Source organism: Homo sapiens, chromosome 2 (assembly GCF_000001405.40).
Source record: "Homo sapiens chromosome 2, GRCh38.p14 Primary Assembly".
Classification (NCBI taxonomy): Eukaryota; Metazoa; Chordata; class Mammalia; order Primates; family Hominidae; genus Homo; species Homo sapiens.
The window spans coordinates 55,608,529-55,633,090 of record NC_000002.12 but is presented as its reverse complement, the minus strand read 5'-3'; the positions used below and the strand labels follow the sequence as shown (position 1 = coordinate 55,633,090).

Below are 24,562 nucleotides of genomic sequence, written 5' to 3'. Positions count from 1 at the left end.
TGGTTAGCTCAATACAAGTACTTAAAAGTAAGACTTTTTTTCCCATGACTTTTGTTTTGATACAGGAACACACATACTCCATAAGTTACTGTTCTATCACAGTACAGTTTTTATATAATCATTTTTTCTTCTATTACAGAATATCTTACATTCTTGGATCTAAAATGAAAACATGAATATCTTTCTTAGTTCAGTTCAGCCAAGCATAGCATTCTTTTATTCATCATTTAACATGTGCCAGGCATTATAAGGTATGCAGGGGATGTGTCAGTAAATAAAAGACCTAAGTTAGGCCGGGCACGGTGGCTCACACTTGTAATCCCAGCACTTAGGGAGGCTGAGGCGGGTGGATCACCTGAGGCCAGGAGTTTGAGAACAGCCTGGCCAACATGGAGAAACCCCGTCTCTACTAGAAATACAAAAATTAGCCAAGCGTGGTGGCACATGCCTGTAGTTCTAGCTACTCGGGAGGCTGAGGCAGGAGAATCACTTGAACCCGGGAGGCAGAGGTTACAGTGAGCCGAGATCGTGCCACTGTACTCCAGCCTGGGCAACAGAGCAAGACTCCATCTCAAAATAACAAAAACAGACAAAACAGCTAAAGTTCCAATGCTCATATTCTAGAGTTTGGAAATTGATAGCAAATTACGATACAGCAGGTCCTTGAATAACTTTTTTTTCAACATCATTTGCATTAAAATGTTGTTGAGAAGGAAACAAAACATTGATTCCTGGCCAGGCTTACCGTCTGTGTGGAGTCTGCACTTTTTCCCACGTCTGCAGGAGTATATTAGTCCATTCTTGCATTGCTATAAAGAAATACCTGAGGTTGGATGCGGTGGCTCATGCTTGTAATCCCAACACTTTGGGAGGCTGAGGCAGGTGGATCACCTGAGGTCAGGAGTTCGAGACCAGCCTGGCCAACATGGTGAAACCCCGTCTCTACTGAAAAAAAAATACAAACGTTAGCCGGCCATAGTGGTGCACGCCTGTAATCCCAGCTACTCAGGAGGCTGAGGCAGGAGAATCGCTTGAACCTGGGAGGCAGAGGTTGCAGTGAGCCGAGATCATGCCACTGCACTCCAGCCTGGGTGACACAGGGAGACTCCATCTCAAAAAAGAAAGAAGAAATACCTGAGTCTGGATAATTTATTTTATTTTGTTTGTTGTTTGTTTTGAGGCAGAGTTTTGCTCTTGTTGCCCAGTCTGAGTGAGTGTGGATGTGTGTGTGAGTGCACCCTGCAATGTGATGGCTGTCCTGTCTAGTATCACTTCCCACCTGGCACCCTGAACTGCCAGGATGGGCTCCAACCACCCAAAACCCTGAACTGTTGTAATTTGATAAATCATCTTGTTTTATTCATCTTTCTTGAATGTTGTCTAGCTCACATTTACTTCAGTGTTTAACATCAGAAATGTTTTGGTCTTTATTTGCAAGTTTGGTAATTTTTTTTTTTTACCAGAAATGTGCCATAGGATCTTAACTCTTGTTTATATCAATTAGCCTGTGGTAAATTTGGTTTCATTTTATGTAGTTTATCTTAGAGTTACAGTTTGCAAGAACCTATCGAAGACATTAAGTAAGAACTTAACTGTACAACATGTCAGGTAGTGGTAGGTACCTTAAAGAAAAACAACTAGATAAAGAGATAGAGTGATAAAAGTTACTATTTAATATGAAATGATCCAGAATGTCTTCTCTGAGTAGATAACATTTCAGCACAGACTTAAATGAAGCAGAGGAAAAAGATATGCAGCTATTTGGGAAAGAATTCTAGATAGAGGGACTAACAACTTCATTTTCACTTGGCATTGCGTTGAATTGTTTACAAGATACAACAGCCAACAGCCTTTCAATTTATAACCCAGTTTCACATAGTCTTACTCCTTAATCTTGTGCTTGTTCTTCACCGAAATTAGAAAGCAAAGTAGCAAAGTTTATTAACGAATATGAAACAAGGGATGGCCAATACAATATGATATTTTTTTTTTTTTCTTTTTTTGAGACGGAGTCTCACTGTGTCGCCCAGGCTGTAGCACAGTGGCGTGATCTCAGCTCACTGCAACCTCCACCTCCCTGCAACCTCCACCTCCCTGCAACCTCCACCTCCCGGGTCCAAGCTATTCTCCTGCCTCAGCCTCCCGAGTAGCTGGGACTACAGGCGCCCGCCACTACACCCAGCTAAGTTTTGTATTTTTAGTAGAGACGGGGTTACACCATATTGGCCAGGCTGGTCTCGAACTCATGACATCAAGTGATCCGCCCACCTCAGCCTCCCAAAGTGTTGGGCTTACAGGTGTGAGCCACTGCGCCTGGCCTAAGATGATATTTTCAAAGCATTTAATCAGGCAAGAATATCTTGGTTACTTACAAGGAATGGGTAGACACTGGAATCATGTGACAAGTTTATCAGGCTTTTGCAAAATTCCAGACTCATGAGAGTTGAGACTAGAGTGGTAGACAGTGGAAATGAAAAGAGAGTTGTTTTAGTTAAAGATTCTTGCTAAAGCAAAGAGGGAAAATGATCATGGGACCGTGAGTTTATTTTATGGAAGCCAAGTCACACCCTGTGGAAGACTGGAATGAGGACTAACAAGCCATTAAGAACTAGGGCAGTTCATCTCTGCTTAATTATGGAGTCTCATGGCCTCTCTTTTGTGCTTCTTTCCACACAACTGCTTTTTTAAATGTTTATTTATTTGTTCGTTTTTATTCTCTGCAAACCTGTTTTCTCAGCATAGGGCAAAGGATGGCTGTCCCACAGGACGTTACCTGTCCTTTATAGGTTTGTGTTCTTTTGGAGGAAATGACAAGCTCAGCTTGGGAAAGGTGTTAAACCTGACTGAGATTGCCAGATAAAATAATGATGCCAAATTAAATTGGAATTACAGATAAACAGATGTTCAGTGTAGGTCCCATGTAACACTAAAAGATTATTCCTTGTTTATCTGAAGTTCAAATAATTTAACTGAATGTCCTATATTTTTATTTGCTAAGTCTGGTACCCATAAGCCAGATATAAGCAACTGGTCAGACAATTGTCTATATTTTTATTTGCTAAATCTGGTAACCCTAAACCTGGTATAAGCAACTGGTCAGAAAATTACCAAGAGCTCACTTCTGAGAAGAGAGTGTATTCAGAAAAAGTGGGCTGGGCACATACCAAGATGTTGCAGAGCAAATATAAGGGATAATGGATGGACTTAACCCAGATAAAATGGGGAGTGAGTGGCAAGTGGAGGGAAGAGAGCGGCAGTTATGACTAAGGATTTCAGGCTGAGGATTGTGAGGACAATAGGATCTGTTACATAAATAGAAACTAAAAGGGACAAAATAGGGTTGTTTTTGTTTTTGAGATGGAGTCTCGCTCTGTTGCCAGGCTGGAGTGCAGTGGTGTGATCTCGGCTCACTGCAACCTCCGCCTCCCAGGTTCAAGCGATTCTCCTGCCTCAGCCTCCCGAGTAGCTGGGATTACAGCTGCACGCCACCATTCCCAGCTAATTTTTGTATTTTTAGTAGAGACGGGGTTTCACCATGTTGGCCAGGATGGTCTCAATCTGTTGACCTTGTGATCTGCCCGCCTCAGCCTCCAAAGTGCTGGGATTACAGGCGTCAGCCACCATACCTGGCCAATGGACAAAATAGTTTTAAAGAGTTTAAATAGTTTTAAATAGTTTAAAGATGGCCTGGGTGTGGTGGCTTGTAATCCCAGCACTTTGAGAGGCCAAGGTGGGTGGATCACATGAGCCCAGGAGTTCAGTACCAGCTTGGGCCAAATGGTCACACCTTGTTCTACAGAAAATAAAAAAATTAGCCTGGCATGGTGGTGCGCACCTGTAATCTCAGCTACTTGGGAGGCTGAGGGCTCAGGTAGGAGGATCACTTGGGCCCGGTAATTCAAGGCTGCAGTGAGCTATGATTGTCCCACTGTACTCCAGCCTGGGCAACAGAGCCAGACTGTGTCTCAAAAAAGAGAGAGATGTCTGACTCATTAAATATGAGTATGAAGTCATCAACCAACAGACAGGTAAAATGGTCTAAAAGGCAATTTGGTAATAAGTGACTTTTGTAAAGGTAATATTTAAAGCAACCTCAGTTTTGCCATCTAAAGCATATCTCAGATCATTGCAAGAGGCTTCAATATAACAGAAATTTACAAAATTAATTTTAATGTAATAAAAACTTTAAAACTACCTATTAGGAGCACAGTACTCTGCTATGGAATAGTTTGTTTCCTTCAGGGACTTAAATATAGTCTAATACAGAGTTACTAATTAATGAAAGGCAGGTTGGTGAGCACTATAATGAAAGTTTTTAAAAAGTCATGCTATAAAAAGAGAAGAGGTAAACTAGAAGGAAAAATGAAGGTTTCTAAGAAGTGGAATTTGAACTGGATTTCAATATAGAGAGTTAGTATTTGAGCTGGGCTTTAAAGGACGATTATAAAGGGAAAGGCACTTTGTGGAGAAGGAACAGTTTTATTAATGGATGAAGAAGCCAGTAAATAGACGTCAGATTGTGTGGGAGTTTAGAATATGAGATTTAGTACTCTGACTTTATCCTGCATGGGATGGGAAGCATTGAAAAATACCCAGTGTTTCATGAAAACCAAACTTGAGTTGTTGACTATAAATAGTTTTTTTAATACTATGGTTATAAAATTTAATGCAATTGCCTAGGACTCATAACCTAGAAGAGATGATTAAAAAAAAGCAAACATAAAAATTTATAGATCATTATCATTTATGAGAACAGTTATAAATTGTCATAATATTAAGAGAAAACCATATGGTCACCAGATGCAAAAAATGGTCCTGTTTTTCTTTTTTTTTTTTTTTTTTTTTTGGAGACAGGGTCTTGCTCTGTTGCCCAGGCTGGAGTGCAGTGGCAGGATCATAGTTCACTGTAGCCTCAAACTCCTGGGCTGAAGTGATCCTCCTGCCTCAGCCTGCTGAGGTGCTGGGACTGCCAGCATGCACCAGCATGCCAGCAAATTTTTTGCTGTTGTTGTTCTTTTAGAGACTGGGTCTCACTATGTTGCCCAGGCTAAAAAGAGACTTTTTTTTTTAATAATTCAATATCCATTTCCTAGAGAGTTTAGAATATCAGGAAATGTCCTTAACGTCACAAGTGGTATGTATCAAAAATTAGGAACATGTATACAACACTGGAAACATGGCCATTAAAGTCAGGAACAAAACAAGAATCACCAGTGTTCTGGATGTCCTAATCAATGTGATGAGATTAAAAAGGGATACAGGGAAAGAACAAAAATATTTGCAGATGATCATCTAAAAACCACTATTTATTTTTTAGACAGGGTCTTACTGTCACTCAGGCTGGAGTGCAGTGACATAATCATAGCTTACTGCAACCTTGAACTCCTAGGCTCAAGGGATCCTCCTGCCTCAGCCTCCCAAGTAGCTGGTACTACAGGTATGGACTACCATGCCTGGTTAATTTTTTTTTTTTTTTTAATTTTTAGTAGAGGTGAGGTCTCGCTCTGTTGCCCAGGTGCTGATCTCAAACTCCTGGGCTCAAGCGATCCTCCCACCTTGGCCTTCCAGAGTGCTGGGATTACAGGCATGAACCACCATGTGAAGCCTAAAAAAACACTTTAAATTGGTATAAAACAGGCCAGGTGGCCGGGCATGGTGGCTAAAACCTGTAATCCCAGCACTTTGGGTGGCCGAGGTGGGCGGATCACAAAGTCAGGAGTTTGAGACCAGCCTGGCCAACATGGCGAAAACCCGTCTCTGCTAAAAATATAAAAATTAGCCAAGTGTAGTGGCAGGTGCCTGTAATCCCAGCTACTCGGGAGGCTGAGGCAGGAGAATTGCTTGAACCCGGGAGGTGGAGGTTGGAGTAAGCTGAGATGGTGCTATTGTACTCCAGCCTTGGCAACAAGAGCAAGACTCCATCTCAAAAAACAAAAAAAACAGTCCCGATGTGGTGGCTCACGCCTGTAATCCCAGCACTTTGGGAGGCCAAAATGGGCAGATGACTTGAGTCCAGGAGTTCAAGACCAGCCTGGGTGACATGGGGAAACCCCATCTCTGCAAAAAATGCAAAAATTAGGAGGCTGAGGTGGGAGGATGGCTTAAGCCCAAGAGGTAGAGGTTGCAATGAGCCAAGATTGCACCACTGTACTCCAGTCTAGAAAACAGAATGAGACTATCTCAAAAAATAAATAAAAAGTGGTTACAAAACAATTGGGACTAGTAAGTGAGCAGTAACCACATAAATATGCCAAAATAAATAGCTATCTTCTCCTCAAGTTAAAAGCTGCCATGGTGTGAATTCATTTCCACTTTTTCAAAGCCATCACCTTTTCCAGGCTTTGAAAAGCTAACCTCGGGACTACTTGCTGAGGTTAAATCTGTCCCAAAAAAGTACCCCAAGTCCATGAAGTCTTGCTTATGTTGTCTTAAATTCCAGCCCCCTTAATTGAACACCCTTAAAATCCAATCCTAAGTATACTTCTCTGGCTCCTGATAGTCATGGTAACTTATTTCAATTCCTTCGGTGTGTAATCTTTCCTTTCTTATCAGGGCCAGCAGTTCCTAGGCAGATTATGCTGAGATGTTAACTCCAGTTACCATGGCTTGGCAGCCAGGAGAAAAACTGAGAACAATTATGGAAGAGGTCTTTCTGTAATGAGGGAAGTGCTTGCTCTTACTAGGAAGTATGAGCCAGTTCTGTAAGCTCTTGAGTGTCCAGAGGTATCTACAGAGCCAAAATCCTCAGGGGCACCCATTCCATGTTTCAAAGCTTCAGGCTGGTTTCCCCAACCAGCGCCCTGACTACATACTGGATCTCCCTAGGCTGAGCATTCAAATATCTTTAGAGCTCTGTGACCATCCAATCCCATTTCTGCTCTTCCACTGCAGGAAATAAAAGTTTGTTAAGCTCCAGAGAAGCCCCCGGCTCCCACACTTAGCCTTTAACTGTTTAAGTGCTCTCGGTTTCTCATTATCCATCTGCAAGGCATTACTTGTCTTAGTAACAGTTGGCCAGCTCTGCTTTCTTTGTAGGCATCGTATTCCCCATATCTTTTAAATGCCTAAATTGCACGAGCAAGAGGATTTCCCTTCTCTGGGATGTTTTCCTAGGTCACTGCTGGCTAAATCAGGACTCAGATGGCTGCTTTGTGCCAGGGACCAAGTAAGCCATTGCCCAAAACCCATCTTACTATCTGTTTTCTTGCACCACTTGGTAAACCACCTGTCTGTTCTGGTCCTCAGAGAAGCAGATGCCAAGAAGGGATTAGACATGCAAGATATTTATTGGGGGAAATGTTTGTGAAGGATAAAGTGGGAAGGCTCAGGAATTGGCAGAGAGACTTCAGACTGTGGTGCAGGTCTGACTTCTGTAAAAAGAAGAGAAGGAAATATTGGGTAGAAAGAGCCTCGACTACACTGTAGTTCTAAGATAGTCTCATCCAGGCTGATGAGAAGTTCCCCAAGCCAAAGTTGCCCGTTAGAGGAGTTCTGCACTGGGCAAGAAAGAACAAGTTTAGTACTCCTGCTGTGCTCAGCCACTAGCTGGGGGCGACTCCAGAGATATGTGGCATTGACATGAATGCATGGTAGTTCCAAAGGGGTGGCAGCTGGCTGTCAGTCACTTGTAGTCCCCAGAGTAGGTTCTCTTGAAGATCTGAGTGGAAACTTCTATGGCCACAGTCAAAATGCAATCCAGGGCCAGGTGCAGTGGTTCATACCTATAATCCCAACACTTTAAGAGGCTGAGATGGGAGGATTGCTTGAGCCGGTAAGTTTGAGACCAGTCTGGGCAAGATAGCCAGACCCTGTCTCAAAAGTAACCCCATAATCATTCCAAAACTGTAGCAATTAAAACTCTGTCATACTAGAATTGACCAACTACAGCAATTGAAACAGTAGTGAATTCAGACTCAAACTCAGATATATGTTATGTATGTATATGTATATGCATGTAAATTTAGTAAATAATATGATAAGATAGCATTTTCAATTTGTTTTTTCTATACATGATGTTGAGACAACTGGATGGATATCCATTTGGAGGAAAAGTTTTAAATTAGCATCCTACTTCATATATATTTTAAAAATTCCAACTTGATTAAAGAACTAAACATTTAAAAACCATGAAAATATATTAGAACTCCAGAATACATGGAAAATTAACCATACACAGTATGTCATCTCTTTGACAGCTAAATAAATTTTTAAAAAGTGTAGAGCCCAAAAGGCAAACAAAATACAAAAGAAATTTCAACAAATGGTTGTATGACAAGCCGATGGAAGAGTAGTAGTAGACTTGACAGCAAAAGGCACAATCTAAAAGCCTCCACAGGTGATTAAAGAAAAAAAGAAGAGGTAAGGCCAGGTGCAGTGGCTCATGTCTGTAATCCCAGCACTTTGGCAAAGAATATAAACAGTTCACAGGAAAGGACATACATGTGACCTTTTAAAAATATAAAAAGATGCCGGGCGCAGTCGCTCACGTCTGTAATCCCAGCACTTTGGGAGGCTGAGGCAGGCAGATCACGAGGTCAGGAGATGGAGACCATCCTGGCTAACATGGTGAAAGCCCGTCTCTACTAAAAATACAAAAAATTAACCTGGCATGGTGGTACATGCCTGTAGTCCCAGCTAGTCAGTAGGCTGAGACAGGAGAATCGCTTGAACCTGGGAGGCAGAGGTTACAGTGAGCCAAGATCACACCACTGCACTCCAGCCTGGGCAACAGAGCAAGATTCCATCTCAAAAAAATAAAATAAAATGAAATAAAATAAAATAAAATAAATAAATTAAAAGAGCTAATTCTTTCCACAAAAAAATTAGAAAGGATCAGGGCAGAAAATTTTAGGGAAGGGTGAAAGCCTATATAAAGAACACCTACATTCCTGGGTCTATTCCCCAATCCCATATAACCAAAGGACTGCCACCCCACACACATACACACATACACACACACTCATACCCACACATGCCCCTATAACACCATCACCACATCCCAGGAGCCTGATTTATTTTCTAGAATGGGAGAGACTCTTGACTTGAGAATATTAGTCACAGTAGGTAGTAGGGGACTGTGAAGCAGGGCTAAAGTGAGCATTAAGTGAAAGCCTGAATGCCAAACAGTGGGACCTCTAGCCTCCTTCCTCTGCCTCCTTCTAGAATACCTTTACCCAGGAAAGATATGGGGGAATCCCTGAATAAACTATTACTGCCCCCTCTCTACTCCCTGCAAGAGACAAGACTTCTAAAAACTGATATTTGGTGAGTGGTTGGGGAGGGACTATGATTGAAAGAGAAAGATCACCCTGAAGAAGGCCAGAAGTCTATAGTTTTGCTCTTGAGAATAGAAAGCCAGATAGGGGCCAAACCATGAAGAGCTTTGAATGGCATCATAAAGAACTTTATCCTAAAAGAAATCAGGAACTTGAAAGATGTCAAGGGAATATAATATGGTCAGATTTATTCCATGAATCTTACTCAGTGGTGTGTCAAGAACTGACTGCCTGGAGATAGAAATTAGAGATCTCAGTCTGGGACTTTCAAATATGTAATATAAGTCTGATATGGTAGCTATTAAATTGCCTGCTAAAGGGAATGTCAAATTGAGTAGTAAACTTCTAAGGGAAGTTTCATTCTTTCAATAGTTATTGAGAACCTGCTATGTTTGACACCCTGTGCTAGACTAGAGATACAATGGTGAGAAAAAATGCAGTTCCCTGGACTAATAGAGGTTTTTCATCTGGATGAGAAGACAGTTATTAATCAGAAATCATACAAATAAATATAAAGCTACAAGTATGACAGGTGCTACAATGGAGGGGTGCATGGTGCTATAAGCGTGTAATAGGATATAATGGATTCTGATTGTATTCCTAGCATCGATTTTACCGATACCTCATAGAGTAACATTCATGGGATTTAGGTGGGATTAACGTAACTTCCAGTTCCAAGGATAGGCCTTGATTTGCCCTGGCCAATCAGTGCTTGACATTCTCTAGACCACAAAACTCTAGGTTTAGGGGCGGACATGTGACCTAAATTAATTTAATCACATTGAAACTGTGAAATATGTGAAAGAAACTCTCTTTTGATATGGACAAAGAACTACATAACCTTGGGAGATCCTGGCCACCATTTTATGATACAAAAGGAGTAAGCCTTAGGATGAATCTGACATCAGAAAGAAAATTGAGAGGTAGAAGGAAATCAAGTTCCTGCTGATACTGTTAAGTCACTCAAATCAACCTGAGGTTCACCTTATCTTCAGACTTCTCATTTATGTGAGCCAATAAATTCTCTTATCATTTAAACTAGTTTAAATTGGATTTTTTGGTAATTGTAACATTCCAAGGGGGATTTGTTCGAATGTGGCTTTTGTCAAAGAAAAAAAAAAAACCCAGGGGATTTGAAATAGGCAGTCCAAGAAGGCTCCTCCAAGGAAGTGATAATAGTGGCAACATTTAAAAGATAAAATGGGAGTTATTAGGAGATGATTGGTGAGGAAGAAAGCTCCAGACAAAGAGAATACCTGTGCAAAGACAGCAAGCAGGGGCATGAGTATGAAAAAAGAGTGTGCGGGTACTAAGATGCAGCTGGAGAGGTAGGCAGAAGCAGGATGAAAAGGGCTTTTTAAGTCATTGAAAGGATTCTGGCCACTGAAATATTTTTCATAACATATAGGGGTGGATAGGATACATCGTATAACGCACATGACAGCCCCTCACAACAAATTATCCAGCCCCAGATGTCAGTGGTGCTTAGGTTGAAAAACTTTGCTCTAGGAAATTAACCTACAAAGATATTGGCACACATAAAACAACTTTTGCACAATCATATGTTTGAAATTACGAACCATTGGAAATGACACAAATATACAATAAATGAGTTAAATAAATTAGGGTACATTTGTACAGTTGATGCAGGATTTTTCTTGGCCACTTTGACAGCTGGAGACCTCCGGCCAGCAACACCCCAACTACTCGGCCCACCAGGATGTGTCTGGCTTGTGCTCAGGCACGAATCCTGCAGCCACCATGGCCTCAGCCCCTGGCAGGAGGGGGTGTGTGAGTGAACGAGTACAGGGCAGGAGTGGGCTCTGTGCGGGGCTTGTGGCTGGACCAGGTGTGTCACATTGAGGGAAATGTGGTGGCACCCAAACAGGGGTGCTCATGACCCTGAAGCCCCAGAGGTGTTACAGTATGCTAAGCACTCTTTTAGTTCTGCCGTCTGCAGGCCAACGGACAGTGGCATGTTAACAGCTCTATCAGTCCCATTGCCCCACTCAGGCCCGTGGCTTCAGGACTGGCTCTGCCCCACTGCTGCTTCCCATCGCGTTGTGTGGGACGGTTGCCCTCCACCAGCAGAGGGCAAAGGGCCACAGTGTGTACAGCCTTCTTTGTATCTGCGTTTGGTGGGTCCCGAATTTTTCTTCAGCGTCCAAGAATGAGGTTACGCTGACAATCAAAGGGTGAGGAGGGTGGAGAAGAGTTTTATTTGAACTATGAAACAGCTCTCAGGAGAGAGAGGATGCAAGGGTGGTCCCTCACTCAAAGTCAGGTGGTCTCTCTCTCAGTGCGGCTGAGTCCACAGCTTTTATGGGCTCAGAATGAAGGCGTGCATGCTGATTGGTTTGTGAGTATGCAAAAAAGGCTAAAACAACAGCACCACTCAAAGGTAGGTACAACAGTGTAAAAAAACAATTAGGAAAGGATATGTGTAAAATAGGTGAAGGGTGGGGATCAATCAGAAGAAAGCACGCCAAATGGGAAGAGAGGTTCTCAATCTGGTCTGTGGATTTATCCTGGTCTTGTGGCTAGCCTTTAAACTGTCCTCAGCTTGAAGGGTTTCACCAGGGACCTGCCCCTGTCTGCCTAGGATTTGTCTGCCTTTTGCGGCTATCACAGTGGGATACTATGTAGCCATTAAGTAGAATGAGTTAGCTCTATATACACACTGACCCAAAAAAGGCTGTCCTGGGCACGGTGGCTCACCCCTGTAATCCCAGTATTTTGGGAGGCTGAGGCAGGTGGATCACATGAGGTCAAGAGTTTGAGACCAGCCTCACCAACATGGTGAAACCCCATCTCTACTAAAAATACAAAAATTAGCTGGGCGTGGTGGCGGACACCTATAATCCCAGCTACTCAGGAGGATGAGGCAGGAGAATCGTTAGAATCCGGGAGACGGAGGTTGCAGTGAGCCGAGATGACACCTCTGCACTCCAGCCTGGACTGTGTATGGAAAAAAAGAAAGAAAAAAAAAGTGGGGGACAGGGGTTCAGATATGGTGGCTCACACTTGTAATCCCAGCACTTTGGGAGGTCAAAGCAGGCAGATCCCTTAAGCTCAGGAGTGTGAGACCAGCCTGGGCACCAACATGTAGAGACCCTGTCTCCACAAAAAATAAAAAGGAAGGAAAAGAATAGTATTCCATTACAGTCATGTGTCCCTTAACAATGGGGATGCTTTCTGAAAAATGCATCATCAGGTGATTTTTTGTTGTGTGAACATCATAGAGTGTACCTAAACAAACCTAGATGGTAGCCTACTACAGAGGTCCCCAACCTTTTTGACACCAGGGACTGGTTTTGTGGAAGACAATTTTTCCATGGAAAGGGGGAGTTGGATTCTCATAAGGAGTGCACAGGTTAGATCCCTTGCATGTGCAGTTTACAATAGGGTTCTCACTCCTACCAGAATGTAATGCCCCTGCTCATCTGACAGGGGGCAGAGCTCAGGCCGAAATGCTGGCTCCCCTGCCACTCACCTTCTGCTGTGCCGCCCAGTTCCTAACAGGCCCTGGACCACTACTGGACCACTACATACATATCTACATATAATTACCTGTATATGCATAGAATATCTCTGGAATAGGACTAGATACATACTTTGTGGGCCCAGTGCAAAATAAAACCGCAGGGCCCTTGTCCAGAAACTTTCCTGAATTTCAAGTTAGTGACAGCAAAACATTAAACCAAGTGCCTATCTGTACAGGTCACCACCATGAAGCCAGCCCTGCTCTGGCAACATACACAGGAAAATGGAATAGAGGTGATTCCAAGAGGAAAATTCTATGAGTGGCAGGAGACAAAGACTAAAAGAAGACTTAGTTTTCACTATATATCTTTGCCTTTTTTTTTTTTTTTTTTTTTGAGACAGTCTGTCACACTGTCCCCCAGGCTGGAGTGCAGTGGTGCAATCTTGGCTCACTGCAACCTCTGCCTCCCAGGTTGAAGCGATTCTCCTACCTCGGCCTCCCAAGTAGCTGGGATTACAGGCCCCCACCACCACGCCCAGCTGATTTTTGTATTTTTAGCAGAGACAGGGTTTCACCACGTTGGCCTGGCTGGTCTGGATCTCCTGACCTCGGGCAATCTGCCCACCTCGCCCTCCCAAAGTGCTGGGATTACAGGCGTGAGCCACCATGCCCGGCCTCTCTTTTTAATTTCATATGTGTAAAGGCATTACTTATTCAAAACAACAAAAAAGGAAGATTGTGGGCTTATTTGGTTAGCAACTCTTTGAAGTGGAACTTTGATGACTGCCTGAAGCAAAGAACATCTGCTGGGGAAGATGTGGTTATGGGGGGCCCTCAGACTTGGATAAGCACTGAGCCCTGTGCTTTGGAGGGGTCTGAAATCCATGGAATCATGGGACTGTAGCCACCTGCAGCCCACTTTCCCTTTTCCAGACCATGCTGTGGGCACTCTAGTATTCCCTATCCCAAACGCCAAGCCTGACTCCAGGGTCTGCACAATCCTCTTCCCAAGTTCAGTCTTCCTGGGGAGTAACCAAAGGGTGAGGCTTGGACAGAAGGCTGGAGAGTCTAACATCAGGCTCAAAAATTGTGTGAAGCATTCTCTGACTCTTCCAAGACAGAAATGTTATTTTCTCTGAGGTCAAAATACATTTTGTCCACTTTCATCACATCAATTAATTGGCTCTATTGTTATGTATTATATTATGATGATTTTCTTCAAGTACATTTTCTGAGGTCTCTAGATTAAAAAAAAAAACTATGAATCCAGATTTTGAAATTATTTCTATCAGCATGTGTTCTGTACACTGACCCACGTTGTAGTGTACTGCTGAAGGGTGTCCACACTTAAGCGATCTGGTCAAAACATAAGCACGTTTTAACAAGACCATTGATTAGTTATGACTACAACTCCCAAGATGCACTGCAGGGTCAGTGTGCGCGTCTCGCCTAGTTTTCACCGATCAGGCTAATGAGCTGCACAGAAGTGGCAGCTGAACAAGCTGAGAGACTGTATTAAAGAACGAATATAGCGGGGATGGGGAGCAGGCGTCTACGGTCCCAGCTACTCGGGAGGCTGAGGTGAGAGGATCGCTTGAGCCCTCAAGGCGGAGGCTACAGTGAGTCGAGATAGCGCCATTGCACTCTAGCCTGGGAAGCAGAGAGAGACTATCAAAAACAACAAAACGAATAAAGGGATTCTACCAAGAGTGAGCTGGACTGAAATAAACGACACGCTACTACGACCCAGCGCGTGACTATATCCACCGCACAATGTGCGATAATAGCCTCAATGCAGAGAGAATTCCTCCTTTCCTTATTCAGTGCAAGAGAGCCCTATAGAGAACGCAGGAAATGCCCGCGAGAAACTGAGAAGTATCAAAACAATCACAGATATGTTAGGAAAGTAGCTCCCCGCCACTTCCCTAAACTTATCATAGCAGACTTACTTTCCAAGGTTACAAACACAAGAAGAGCACTGTATTTTCATGAAGCGGAAAATGTGCTTTACAATCGCCAGCTACTAAGAGCCTTAACGGTGAAGCGCTCTGCAAGAAACAGGAAATCGTCAACACACTTTCTGCATGAATTGCCTGGAGAGTTGTGTCCATAGACAATTCCTGGTTAGATGCTTAATTGTAGCAGACTCCATAACGGGGTTTAGCGGGTTTCCATTCGGCAGAAAGGGCTCCACGTTCTTTTTCACAGAAAGGTTTAAACTTATTTTTCCTCCTCAGGCGGACGAAGTGAGCGTCGTTCCGTGAAGGTATGAAACCCTTTTCCTTCCTTTCTGTCCCTGGTTACTCCGGTTCAAGGCTACGTACTTCCCCGGTTTGCTTTGTTTTTTCCTCAGAGCTAAGTTCCTAGGAACGTCACATACTGGTGCCATCCAACAACATGACGACGTGCGGAACCGAAGTCCCCTTCCACCTAGCGGCCTCTCGCGGCGCAGGCGTGGACGGGGAGATCGCGAGAACCTCCCGCCCAATTGCGACCCCGCGCCAAGAGGCGGGGCCGAAAGAGGAGGAAGTCGGGCCGAAAGAGGAGGAAGTCTCGCCGAAGTACTCCCGCCCCAGTCGGTACCCCTCCTCGCGAGAGCGCCGAGCATTCCGGCCTGGGAAGCGCGTGCAGAAGCGGAGGTGCTGCTCATGGGACTTGTCGGCCGCCGTAGCCCCTGCTAGGACAGCCCGTGCGAGCCTGCTGGAGGAGGAAGAGAAAGGCAGAGAGAGTCGGGTTACAAGATGGCGGATCTGTAGTAGTTACCGCGGCGGCGGGAGAGCAAGCGAGCCCTGGGGGGCAAAGAGACGGGAGAGTGGGTGTATGCGCGGGTGAAGTGAGAGGTAACGGGGCCTCCGGGCGGAGAGGCCTCAGTGGCTCTTGTCACCCCTTCTCGCGGCTGAACCTTTGGAGCCATGGTGAATTCGGGCCTCTCCGAAGCCGCCGCCGCCGCCACCGCCACTACTGCCTTTACCGTCTCCTAAGAGTGAGGAGCGCGGACGAGGTAAGCGAGGAGGCGGCGGCTAGAGCGGTGGAGACAGCAGCCACCATGTCGGATACGCGGCGGCGAGTGAAGGTCTATACCCTGAACGAAGACCGGCAATGGGACGACCGAGGCACCGGGCACGTCTCCTCCACTTACGTGGAGGAGCTCAAGGGGATGTCGCTGCTGGTTCGGGCAGAGTCCGACGGTAAGGTTATCGGAACTGTAGAATAGGGGATAGTGCCTCTGGTTGGGGCACAGCTTGGGTTTAGGGCCCTGGGCCCGTTACCGTTGCTACTCCTTCGGGACAGCGCGTTGGTTCTGAACTGGCTCTTGTGTACGGCAAAAACAAAGTACTGTACTTTTGACTGGACTTATCCTCGGAGACCGAGACTCTCTGTCCTTCTCCCATCTCTCTTAAGGATTGGACTCCTTCCTTTCCAGTCCCTCCTCTTTTGAAGAGGGGAGAGTGTGAGAGAGAAGGGAGGAAGTAGTGAGAGACTAGGTACTGATGTCGCCCTAGGAGCTGACACCTTCCTCCCCCTTTATTTACTTATCCATTATACGTCTAGTACAAACGGTTTAGGGAAACTTTTCTTTCCGAGTGTTTTTAAAAAAAAAAAATTGTACCAACGGGCCCCAGGTGCCACAGTCGACAGGTGCTGGGGAAAACCGAAAGGCACGTTTTCCTGGCTGTATTGCTGACTGTTGCCACGATACATGGACACACAAGCACATACATCTGTAGTCTGCATTTCTTCGGGCTGCCTTTGTAGAAGGCGCTATGAGAAAGTGAATGCCTTACAATCTAAGCAAGTTGGGACACCAAAGCAGGTTGTAAACTGCTGTGTTCTTTGGTTTATTGTAGTCATGTGAAGTATTTTAAATTACAAAATGTAGAGCCGTAATTAAAATGCCTTTTATAGTATAATCTGGACTTGATTTGAACAACTGATATAGGCAGTTAGAAAAATAATCTTAGGTTTAGTCTTGACATATTTTGTATTCTTGCTTGTTCCCTTTTATTTTAAATAGTCATCACTTCTACAGAAGGTGTTCTTTTGTTCTTAATGAGGAAAGGATAAATGCAGCACTGTAATTTCTATACTAAGTATTTAATCCCTGTCATGATGTTTTTGTTTTGTAATTTGCATTATTTGTTAAACTGGGAATGCAATAAAACAACTTTTGTTAAAACGAATGGCTTGAAGTGGTCATTTAGACCTTAAAATTTTTATTTCAATAAAATTTTAATAGTCATCTAGTCTCCTCATTCCTTGGTTTGATTGTTGGTTTTAGATTAATTTTTCCTTTAAGGGTGTATGGGAATAGGGTGAAATATTTTAGATTAAATGTGAAGCCTAGATTTGGAGAGAAAATGTGAATTCGAATACATTTTATTAAGATGTCCAACTCGGTAAAAAGACTTGAAAAGTTTGCGGGGGCGGGGGGCGGGGTTTAAATGTGTATTTTTTTTTTTTTTTTTTTTTTTTTGGAGACAGAGTCTTGCTCTGTTGCCAGGCTGGAGTTCAATGGCGCGATCTGGGCTACTGCAACCTCTGCCTCCTCTCCCTCTCTCTCAAGCGATTCTCCTGCCCCACCCTCCCGTGTACCTGGGACTACAGGCATGCGCCACCACGCCCAGCTAATTTTTGTATTTTTAGTAGAGACGGTTTCACCATGTTGGCTGGAATGGTCTGGATCTCTTGACCTCGTGATCTGCCCGCCTCCCAAAGTGCTAGGATTACAGACGTGAGCCACTGCGCCCGGCTTTAATGTGTATTCTAATTTTTATTCAGGGTTTTATCATTTGAGACTTATGATGTATTATTTTTTATCTTTCAGGATCACTACTCTTGGAATCAAAGATAAATCCAAATACTGCATATCAGAAACAACAGGCAAGTAGTTGTTTATCTTTAATTTGAAAGACTTCATCTGTGATCAAGGAAGTATTAATCTGACAAAGGTGGGAAAGCTTTCCTGACAAGAAAAAAACATGTTTGGTAAACAAAGATCATGTGTATTTCTCTTGCAGGTTAAAAGTTTCAGACTGAAAAAAAGTTTTTGTACTGGTGATAATTATCATTTTTGGATTGAGCCACTGTCGGTTTATTCTAAGATGTATTTATTAGTATTATTTAACTGTAGTTAGCCAAGTCTCTTCTATACCTTGTACATGAAACCTTTTATTCTGAGTCACGTTTAAAGGAAATGACATAGAACAAAATTCAAAGGGATACTCTTAAAGCAAGGAAAGCCTGTTTGTGGTGTGAAATTAAATCCTTTGACTCAAGTAAAGGTAGAGGTTTTGAAGTAGAAGCATTAAATCCTGCTCTTTAATTGTTGTGTATTTTTAATATAGTAATCAATGGATACTTTATAAAAATGTACATTACCAAGTATGTAACATCTTCTGTTAATATTGTCTTATTTGGGAAAGAAAATGTGTATTGTATTTTAGCACGCCTGATTAATCTGAAAATGGTAGCAGTGATTCAATCTTTTTTATTCTGTGAATGTTTTTGTTTTTATTATGAAATATATTAAAATTGAAAAGTACAGAGAATAATCGGTGTCTACTGTAACACCACCAGATTTAACAATGTTAATGTTACGCCATATTTGTTTCAAATATTTTTGTAATATTGAACATTATGGATAGAGTTAAAGCTTGTTTGTATCCATCCCGTTGTTTACATTCTCCATCCCCTACATAGGTAACCACTATTCTGAAGTTGATGTGTATTCTTTGTGTACATGCTTTTATACCTTTTCTGCATATGTATGTATCCATAAATAATATGTAGTCTGTTGTGTGTTTTTAAACTTTACACAGTGGATGTCATACTCTTACATGTATTCTGCAGCTTGCATTTTTCACACATTCATTTTGAATATTCGTTCATGTTAACAATGTAGATCTAGTTTTCTTTTTAAACTCTGTATAGTATTCTTATGTATGACATACACTTGTTGTTATACATTTGAATTATTTCCAGGTATTCTTTTTTGTGTGTGGTATGTAAAGTCACGATGGCAGAGATTTTTGAAGGAAGATAAATTATTTTAGGATTACATTTACAGCGTCAGTGCCCACTTCAAGGTTTATGAAAATTTGGATGCCCAGAAACAAGTACTTCGTAGTTGGAGGAATAAAATTCTGTCTGTTGTGCAGCTTATTATTACAAAGTCTTACTGTTAGAACAATTATGTATATAACACATTCTTAATCAGTTATTTGAAATACTTTAAAATTTTCAATATTCAATTCATAGCTTTTTTCTCTGTTTAGAAAATATTGTGTGTCTTTTTTGATGGAGAAGCAAATTAAACATTTGTCCTGAATTGAAAACCTGAAGATGTTTCCTATACCTTAGACATTGTAAGGTAGACATTTAAGTAAATTTAATTTCTCAGTCAGCCAGGCAGCTCTTAATCTCTGTCTTTATACCGAGTTTTTACCAGATGATCACTTTTAGTTTGTTTTTGTTTGCTTGCTTCTTTGTGGGGAAAGAAATACTAATTTTTTTTTTTTTTTTACCATATTTCCCTTATCTGCATGAATATAATTATCAGGAACTTTGTTCTTAAATGTAACTAAGTCATAAACAGTTCCCTACAAATTTAGGTTTAATAATGGATTCTTCTCAGATTGTATATAAGATCTTTTAGCTGTTGTTACTTTGGAAACATCACATTATGGAGTAGGTTTGTATTTAAAATAGTCACCCAACATAAGTTAAAAATACATAGTGATTCTGTGAATACTTTAGAATCATTAGGATATGTAGGTAATTTCATGTATAATGTTGCTCTACTAGAAAATTAGTTCTAGATAATTAGCATTTTTGTATACACTTAGTATAAAGTATTGGAAAAAATGCATTATTTAAAAAAATTACACCATTTGGAAATGTTTTCTGTAATCACATTTAAATAATATACTATTTGGGGTTTTGTAATAGTTTATTTTTTCGTTGGGCTTTTTTTTTTTGGCAACATAACATTCAGGTGTATAAGAGAACTCTGGTAATGAGAAGAATATGGAAACACTGAAGAAGAGTGAAAAACTTGTGTGAATGATGTTACCTGTTTATTTTTGTTTAAATTGAGTACACTTTTCTAATTGAAATCATAGGGCCATTTAGGGGTTATGTTAAACTTAGTTTCTTTGTAATAGACATGGTTTTTCATATTTTCACCCAAATCTTCAATTTGCACTTTTGAAAATAATTTTTTTGAGAGGGTCTTCTTCTGTCCCTTAGGCTGGAGTACAGTGGTTTGATCACAGCTCACTGCAGCCTCAACCTCCTGGGCTCAAGCGATCCTCCAATTTCAGCCTTCTGAGTAGATGGGATTATGGATGTGAGCCACCATGCTTGACTAATTTTTTTTTTTTTTTTGAGATGGAGTCTCGCTCTGTCGTCCATGCTGCAGTGTGGTGGTGCGATTTCTGCTCACTGCAAGCTTCGCCTCCCGGGTTCACACCATTCTCCTGCCTCAGCCTCCCAAGTAGTTGGGACTACAGGCGCCCGCCACCACGCCCAGTTAATTTTTTTGTATTTTTTAGTAGAGATGGGGTTTCACCGTGTTAGCCAGAATGGTCTCGATCTCCTGACCTCGTGATCCGCCCGCCTCGGCCCCCCAAAGTGCTGGGATTACAGGTGTGAGCCACCAAGCCCGGCCAACCTTACTAATTTTTTAAAAAATTTGTAAAGATGGGGTCTCGTTATGTTGTCCAGGCTAAATTTGCACCTTTAAAAAATTTATTACAAAACTTTGTTGTTGTTGTGTTTGTAGAGACGGTCTCACTGTGTGGCCCAGGCTGATTTGAATTCCTGGCCTCAAGTGATCCTTTTGCTTCAGCACCTCCATGGTGCTGGGATTACAGGTGTGAGCAGTGGCTGTATTCAGCTTAATTTGTAGTTATTTGAAGTTACACAAATTGAGATTTCCAAATACAGTAACATTTTTCTATGTTTGTTAGAATTATCCTTTGTAAAAGGCATCATTTAGGTTATTCAATAAATTAGTCTAGAAAGTTATTAATTTCCAAATATCACATGAAGTCTGTTGTTCAGTAGTGGAGTTAAAATTTAAAAAATTGTTTTCAGAGATGGGATCTTGCTATGATGCCCAGGCTGAGCTTGAACTCCTAGGCTCAAGTGATCCTCCCATCTCAGCTTCTCCAGTAGCTGGGACTGCAGTAATGGGTTAAATTTTTTGTTTCCATTAGCGGGTTTTTTATTAAAAACTTAATGAGTAAGTGAATGAGATGTTTATAGGCCATTTTGCTGTATTAAAATATGTTGACTATGGCAGGCATGGTGGCTCACACCTGCAATCTCAGCACTTTGGAAGGCCAAGGCAGGAGGATCCCTTGAGCTGAGGATTTCGGGAACAGCCTGCACAACATAGCAAGATCCCTGTCTCTACCAAAAAAAATTCAAAAATTATCCAGGTGTGGTGGTGCGCAGCTATAGTGCCAGCTACTTCTGGAGGTGAGACGGGAGGATCATTTGAGCTTCGGAGGTCGAGACTGTAGTAAGCCATGATTGTACCACTGCACTCCAGGTGGAGAGACAAAGCGATTTTTCTGTCTCAAAAAAAAAAATTGAGTAAATTCAGAGGGGAATGTTTAACATTCTTCTTTTAACATTATAGTTTTAAAATGAGCCAACTACTAAATTGTGTGCTCAAGATACATCTTTTCTTTCATAAATGAAGTACCAAATTGTGAGCCTAAAAGGAGTTAGAATGAGTCAAGCTGAATGTCATATGACTGGATATTGAAAAGTCATTATTGATTCACATCACTTTCTTCCTTACTGTGCATAGTACTGAAGTCGTTAATGGAAGAAGATGTACTTACCCAATAAACTTAAGCATTTAAACATGTTGGAAAGAGAAGAGAATCATTATATGATACAACATGAAATAACATACCTGATAGGTGTGACAGAAATTTTAAGTTACTTCAAATCAGTCCCACTGATACTGACTAAATCAAAAGCAGAGTCAAAGCCAGGTGTGGTGGCGTGTGCTTGTGGTCCCAGCTCCTTGGGAGGCTGAGGCTGGAGGATCACTTAAGGCCAGGAGTTTGAGGCTGTAGGGTGCTATGATTGTGCCTGTGCGTAGCCATTGCACCCCAGCCTGGGCAACATATCTTAATAAAAAACAAGAGTCATACTAGGCACAGTGGCTCACACTTGTAATCTCAACACTTTGGGAGGCTGAGGCAGGAGGATCACTTTAGTCCAGGAGTTCAAGACCAGCCTGGGCAACATACTGAGACTCTCACTGCAAAAAATATAAATTAGCTGGGCATGGTGACACACACCTGTAGTCCCAGCTGCTTGGGAATCTGAGGTGGGAGAATTGCTTGAGCCCAGGAGGTCAGTGCTTCAGTGAGCTGTTACTGTGCTACCGCACTCCAGCCTGGGCGATAGAGGAAGACTCTCTCAAAAAAAAAAAAAAAACCAGAGTCATAAGAATGTGTACCTATTTAACACAATTGTGTGTTAATTGGGTTTAAGAAAATCCTCATTGCAGTTTTATTTGGAGGCAGGATGTAACAGATGAAACAGATAAAGAATGATAATAAGATAGCTTATAACAGTGTTTTACCACAGTCTTCACTGAAAGCCCGTGAAAGCATTTCACACATGAGGCAACAAAGGTACAGAAAGGGTAAGATTCTTGACTGAGATTATACAGCAGGTATGTGCCAACACAAAATATAAAAAGTAAACTTGCATTTTCCACAGACTTAGAGCAGTAGAAAATTAAGGAAGAGGTTAATATAAGCTGGAATCATTAAGAAAAACTTCATTCTTGGTGGTGGTAGTGGAAGGAACTGTGATAGGAAAGGAAATACACTTGCTACAAAAGGTATTAAGCCTATTTGTAGCAGTGGTTTCTCCCCCTCCTACCACCAATCCCAAATATGATAATACACAGGTTCAGAAGGGGACATTACAGGTTCTTGAGTAGGGGCCTAAAGTGATACTGTGTTTAAAGAAATGAGTGTGGCAATGTCATGAATAATAAATTGGGGAGGAGGGATAGGGTGGAGCAGAAGATCTTTGAGTAGCAAGACCTTTTGCAATAATTCAGATACAAAAAATGAAAGTCTATTCCACCACGGTAAATGGACTTGAAGGAACAGAGCTCCAGTATATTTTCCAGAAAGTGCTGGAAAATTTAGTAAATGATTAAATATTAAAGAGAAGGAATCAAAGGTCACTGATAGTGTTTTTGAGTCTGGCCAGGAAGGTGATGGTTCTTTCCAGAAAGTGGGAAGTTAAGCAGGTTTACATTAATCTTTTGGTTTGAGGCTTATTAAAAAAAATTTTTTTTAGTGTGTAATATATTAGCCCAGTTAAAAATTCAAAAGGTATTTATTGAAGTCTCTTTCCCACGCCAGATTCTGTCCGTACAGTTTCCCTTGCTAGAGGCCACTGACATCACCAGTTTCTTATATATCTTGCTGGAGGTATGCATATGTAAGCAAATATGCATACAATTGTATGTATTTTTTCCCTTTTATTGGTATAACTGGTAGCATACTGTATACTGTTTTGTGCTTTGCTTTTTTTTTCTTTTCCATCCGGGCTTTGAAGTTACATACAGTAAAATAAATGGAAAGAGTTTTTTTGTTTTTTTTGTTTTTTTTTTTTTTGAGACACAGTCTTGCTTTGTTGCCGAGGCTGGAGTGCAGTGGCGTGATCATGGCTTACTGCAGCTTTAACTTCCTGCGCTCAGGCTCCCACCTCAGCCTCCTGAGTAGCTGGGACTGTAGGTGTGCACACCATGCCTGGCTAATTTTTTGTAGATATGGGATTATGCCATGTTGCTCAGGCTGGTCTTGAACTCCTGAGCTCAAGCAGCCCACCTATCTTGGCCTTCCAAAGTGCTGGGAATACAGACATGAGTCGTCACACCCAGCCCATGAAAAGGTCTTAAAATGAACATCTGGGAATAGAGATAGGGTGAGACTTTCCGGCAGGAGATTCTAATTTAAGAATCATAAAAGGCCTAGCATGCCAGTAGTAGTCCCAGCTTTTCGGGGCTGAGGCAGGAGGATCACTTGAGACCAGGAGTTTGAGGCTATAGTTCGTGATGATCACACCTGTGAATAGCCAACTGCACTCCAGCCTTTTAAAAAAAAAAATCAGATGAATTATGAATTTTTAGCTACAAGGTAACCTCCTTTGAGGTAATAGCTATAAATTGAGAAAAGAACAGAGCTCAAGACTGAGTCTTGTTGATCTGACCACATATATTCATTCATCCAGAAATACCTCATCGAGTGCTGCTTCTGGCTGGTCACTATCTTTTCGTTTGGAATTTTTTTGGAGGCAGGGCGGTGGTTTTGAGATGAGACTGTCTCCCAGCCAAAAGCACGGTGGCATGATTAAGTCTCACGCAGCCTTGACCTCCTAGGTGCGATCCTCCCACCTCAGCCTTCTGAGTAGCTGGGACTGCAGGCGCATACCACCATACCTGGCTAATTTTTTTAATGTTTAGTAGAGATGAGGTCTCACTATGATGCCCAGGCTGGTTTCAAACTCCTGCGCTTAACAATTCTCCCTCTTTGGGCTCCAAAAGTGCTGGGATTACAGGCATGAGCCTCCATATCCAGCCAAGTTGGGATTTTTAAAGTAAGCTTTTGAAGAGTTTATGCAAAGTGATGACATGATCCAAAATACTTAATAGTATCAATCTGTGGAATTGAAGAGAAGCAATAAGTGGGAAACTCATTGGGAGATTGCTGCATAGTCCAAGCAAAAGATAATGTTGGATTGGATTGAGGTGATA

The 24,562-nt window shown here is 42.1% G+C and overlaps 1 protein-coding gene and 1 long non-coding RNA gene across 21 annotated transcripts in view, besides 5 other annotated features; one reads left to right on the top strand and one right to left on the bottom strand.

The window, feature by feature from the left end:
* PPP4R3B-DT (PPP4R3B divergent transcript) lies at window positions 190-15,161 on the bottom strand. 4 transcript variants are annotated; one of them, NR_186624.1, is made up of 3 exons: window positions 14,709-15,161; window positions 2,373-2,449; window positions 190-1,111 (listed from the first exon to the last, which is right to left on the bottom strand). It is a non-coding gene; the product is annotated as a PPP4R3B divergent transcript (long non-coding RNA). The 4 variants fall into 4 exon arrangements; NR_186623.1 differs by lacking the exon at window positions 2,373-2,449; NR_186622.1 differs by lacking the exon at window positions 190-1,111 and having other exon boundaries at window positions 1,651-2,449.
* Window positions 12,604-12,653: a silencer, noted in NCBI's record as "silent region_11500". NCBI's record gives its function as "represses an Ori minimal core promoter by ATAC-STARR-seq in GM12878 lymphoblastoid cells {active_cell/tissue: GM12878}" and the evidence as "EXISTENCE:reporter gene assay evidence [ECO:0000049][PMID:35858748]".
* Window positions 14,662-15,586: an enhancer, noted in NCBI's record as "NANOG-H3K27ac-H3K4me1 hESC enhancer chr2:55844640-55845564 (GRCh37/hg19 assembly coordinates)". NCBI's record gives its function as "activates a minimal SCP1, AML or CMV promoter by ChIP-STARR-seq in naive H9 embryonic stem cells {active_cell/tissue: H9 hESC(naive)}" and the evidence as "EXISTENCE:reporter gene assay evidence [ECO:0000049][PMID:30033119]".
* Window positions 15,099-15,148: an enhancer, noted in NCBI's record as "active region_15784". NCBI's record gives its function as "activates an Ori minimal core promoter by ATAC-STARR-seq in GM12878 lymphoblastoid cells {active_cell/tissue: GM12878}" and the evidence as "EXISTENCE:reporter gene assay evidence [ECO:0000049][PMID:35858748]".
* Window positions 15,169-15,568: an enhancer, noted in NCBI's record as "active region_15783". NCBI's record gives its function as "activates an Ori minimal core promoter by ATAC-STARR-seq in GM12878 lymphoblastoid cells {active_cell/tissue: GM12878}" and the evidence as "EXISTENCE:reporter gene assay evidence [ECO:0000049][PMID:35858748]".
* Window positions 15,469-24,562, top strand: part of PPP4R3B (protein phosphatase 4 regulatory subunit 3B) — a 70,331-nt gene continuing 61,237 nt past the window's right edge. For all 17 annotated transcript variants that reach the window (XM_017004536.3, XM_017004535.3, XM_017004534.3 and 14 more), the window contains exons 1-2: window positions 15,469-15,947; window positions 17,585-17,640. In XM_017004536.3, coding sequence (XP_016860025.1) covers window positions 15,806-15,947; window positions 17,585-17,640 — 198 coding nt within the window. In that variant the 5' untranslated portion in view covers window positions 15,469-15,805. The remainder of the gene's footprint in view (window positions 15,948-17,584; window positions 17,641-24,562) is intronic.
* Window positions 15,587-16,513: an enhancer, noted in NCBI's record as "NANOG-H3K27ac-H3K4me1 hESC enhancer chr2:55843714-55844639 (GRCh37/hg19 assembly coordinates)". NCBI's record gives its function as "activates a minimal SCP1, AML or CMV promoter by ChIP-STARR-seq in naive H9 embryonic stem cells {active_cell/tissue: H9 hESC(naive)}" and the evidence as "EXISTENCE:reporter gene assay evidence [ECO:0000049][PMID:30033119]".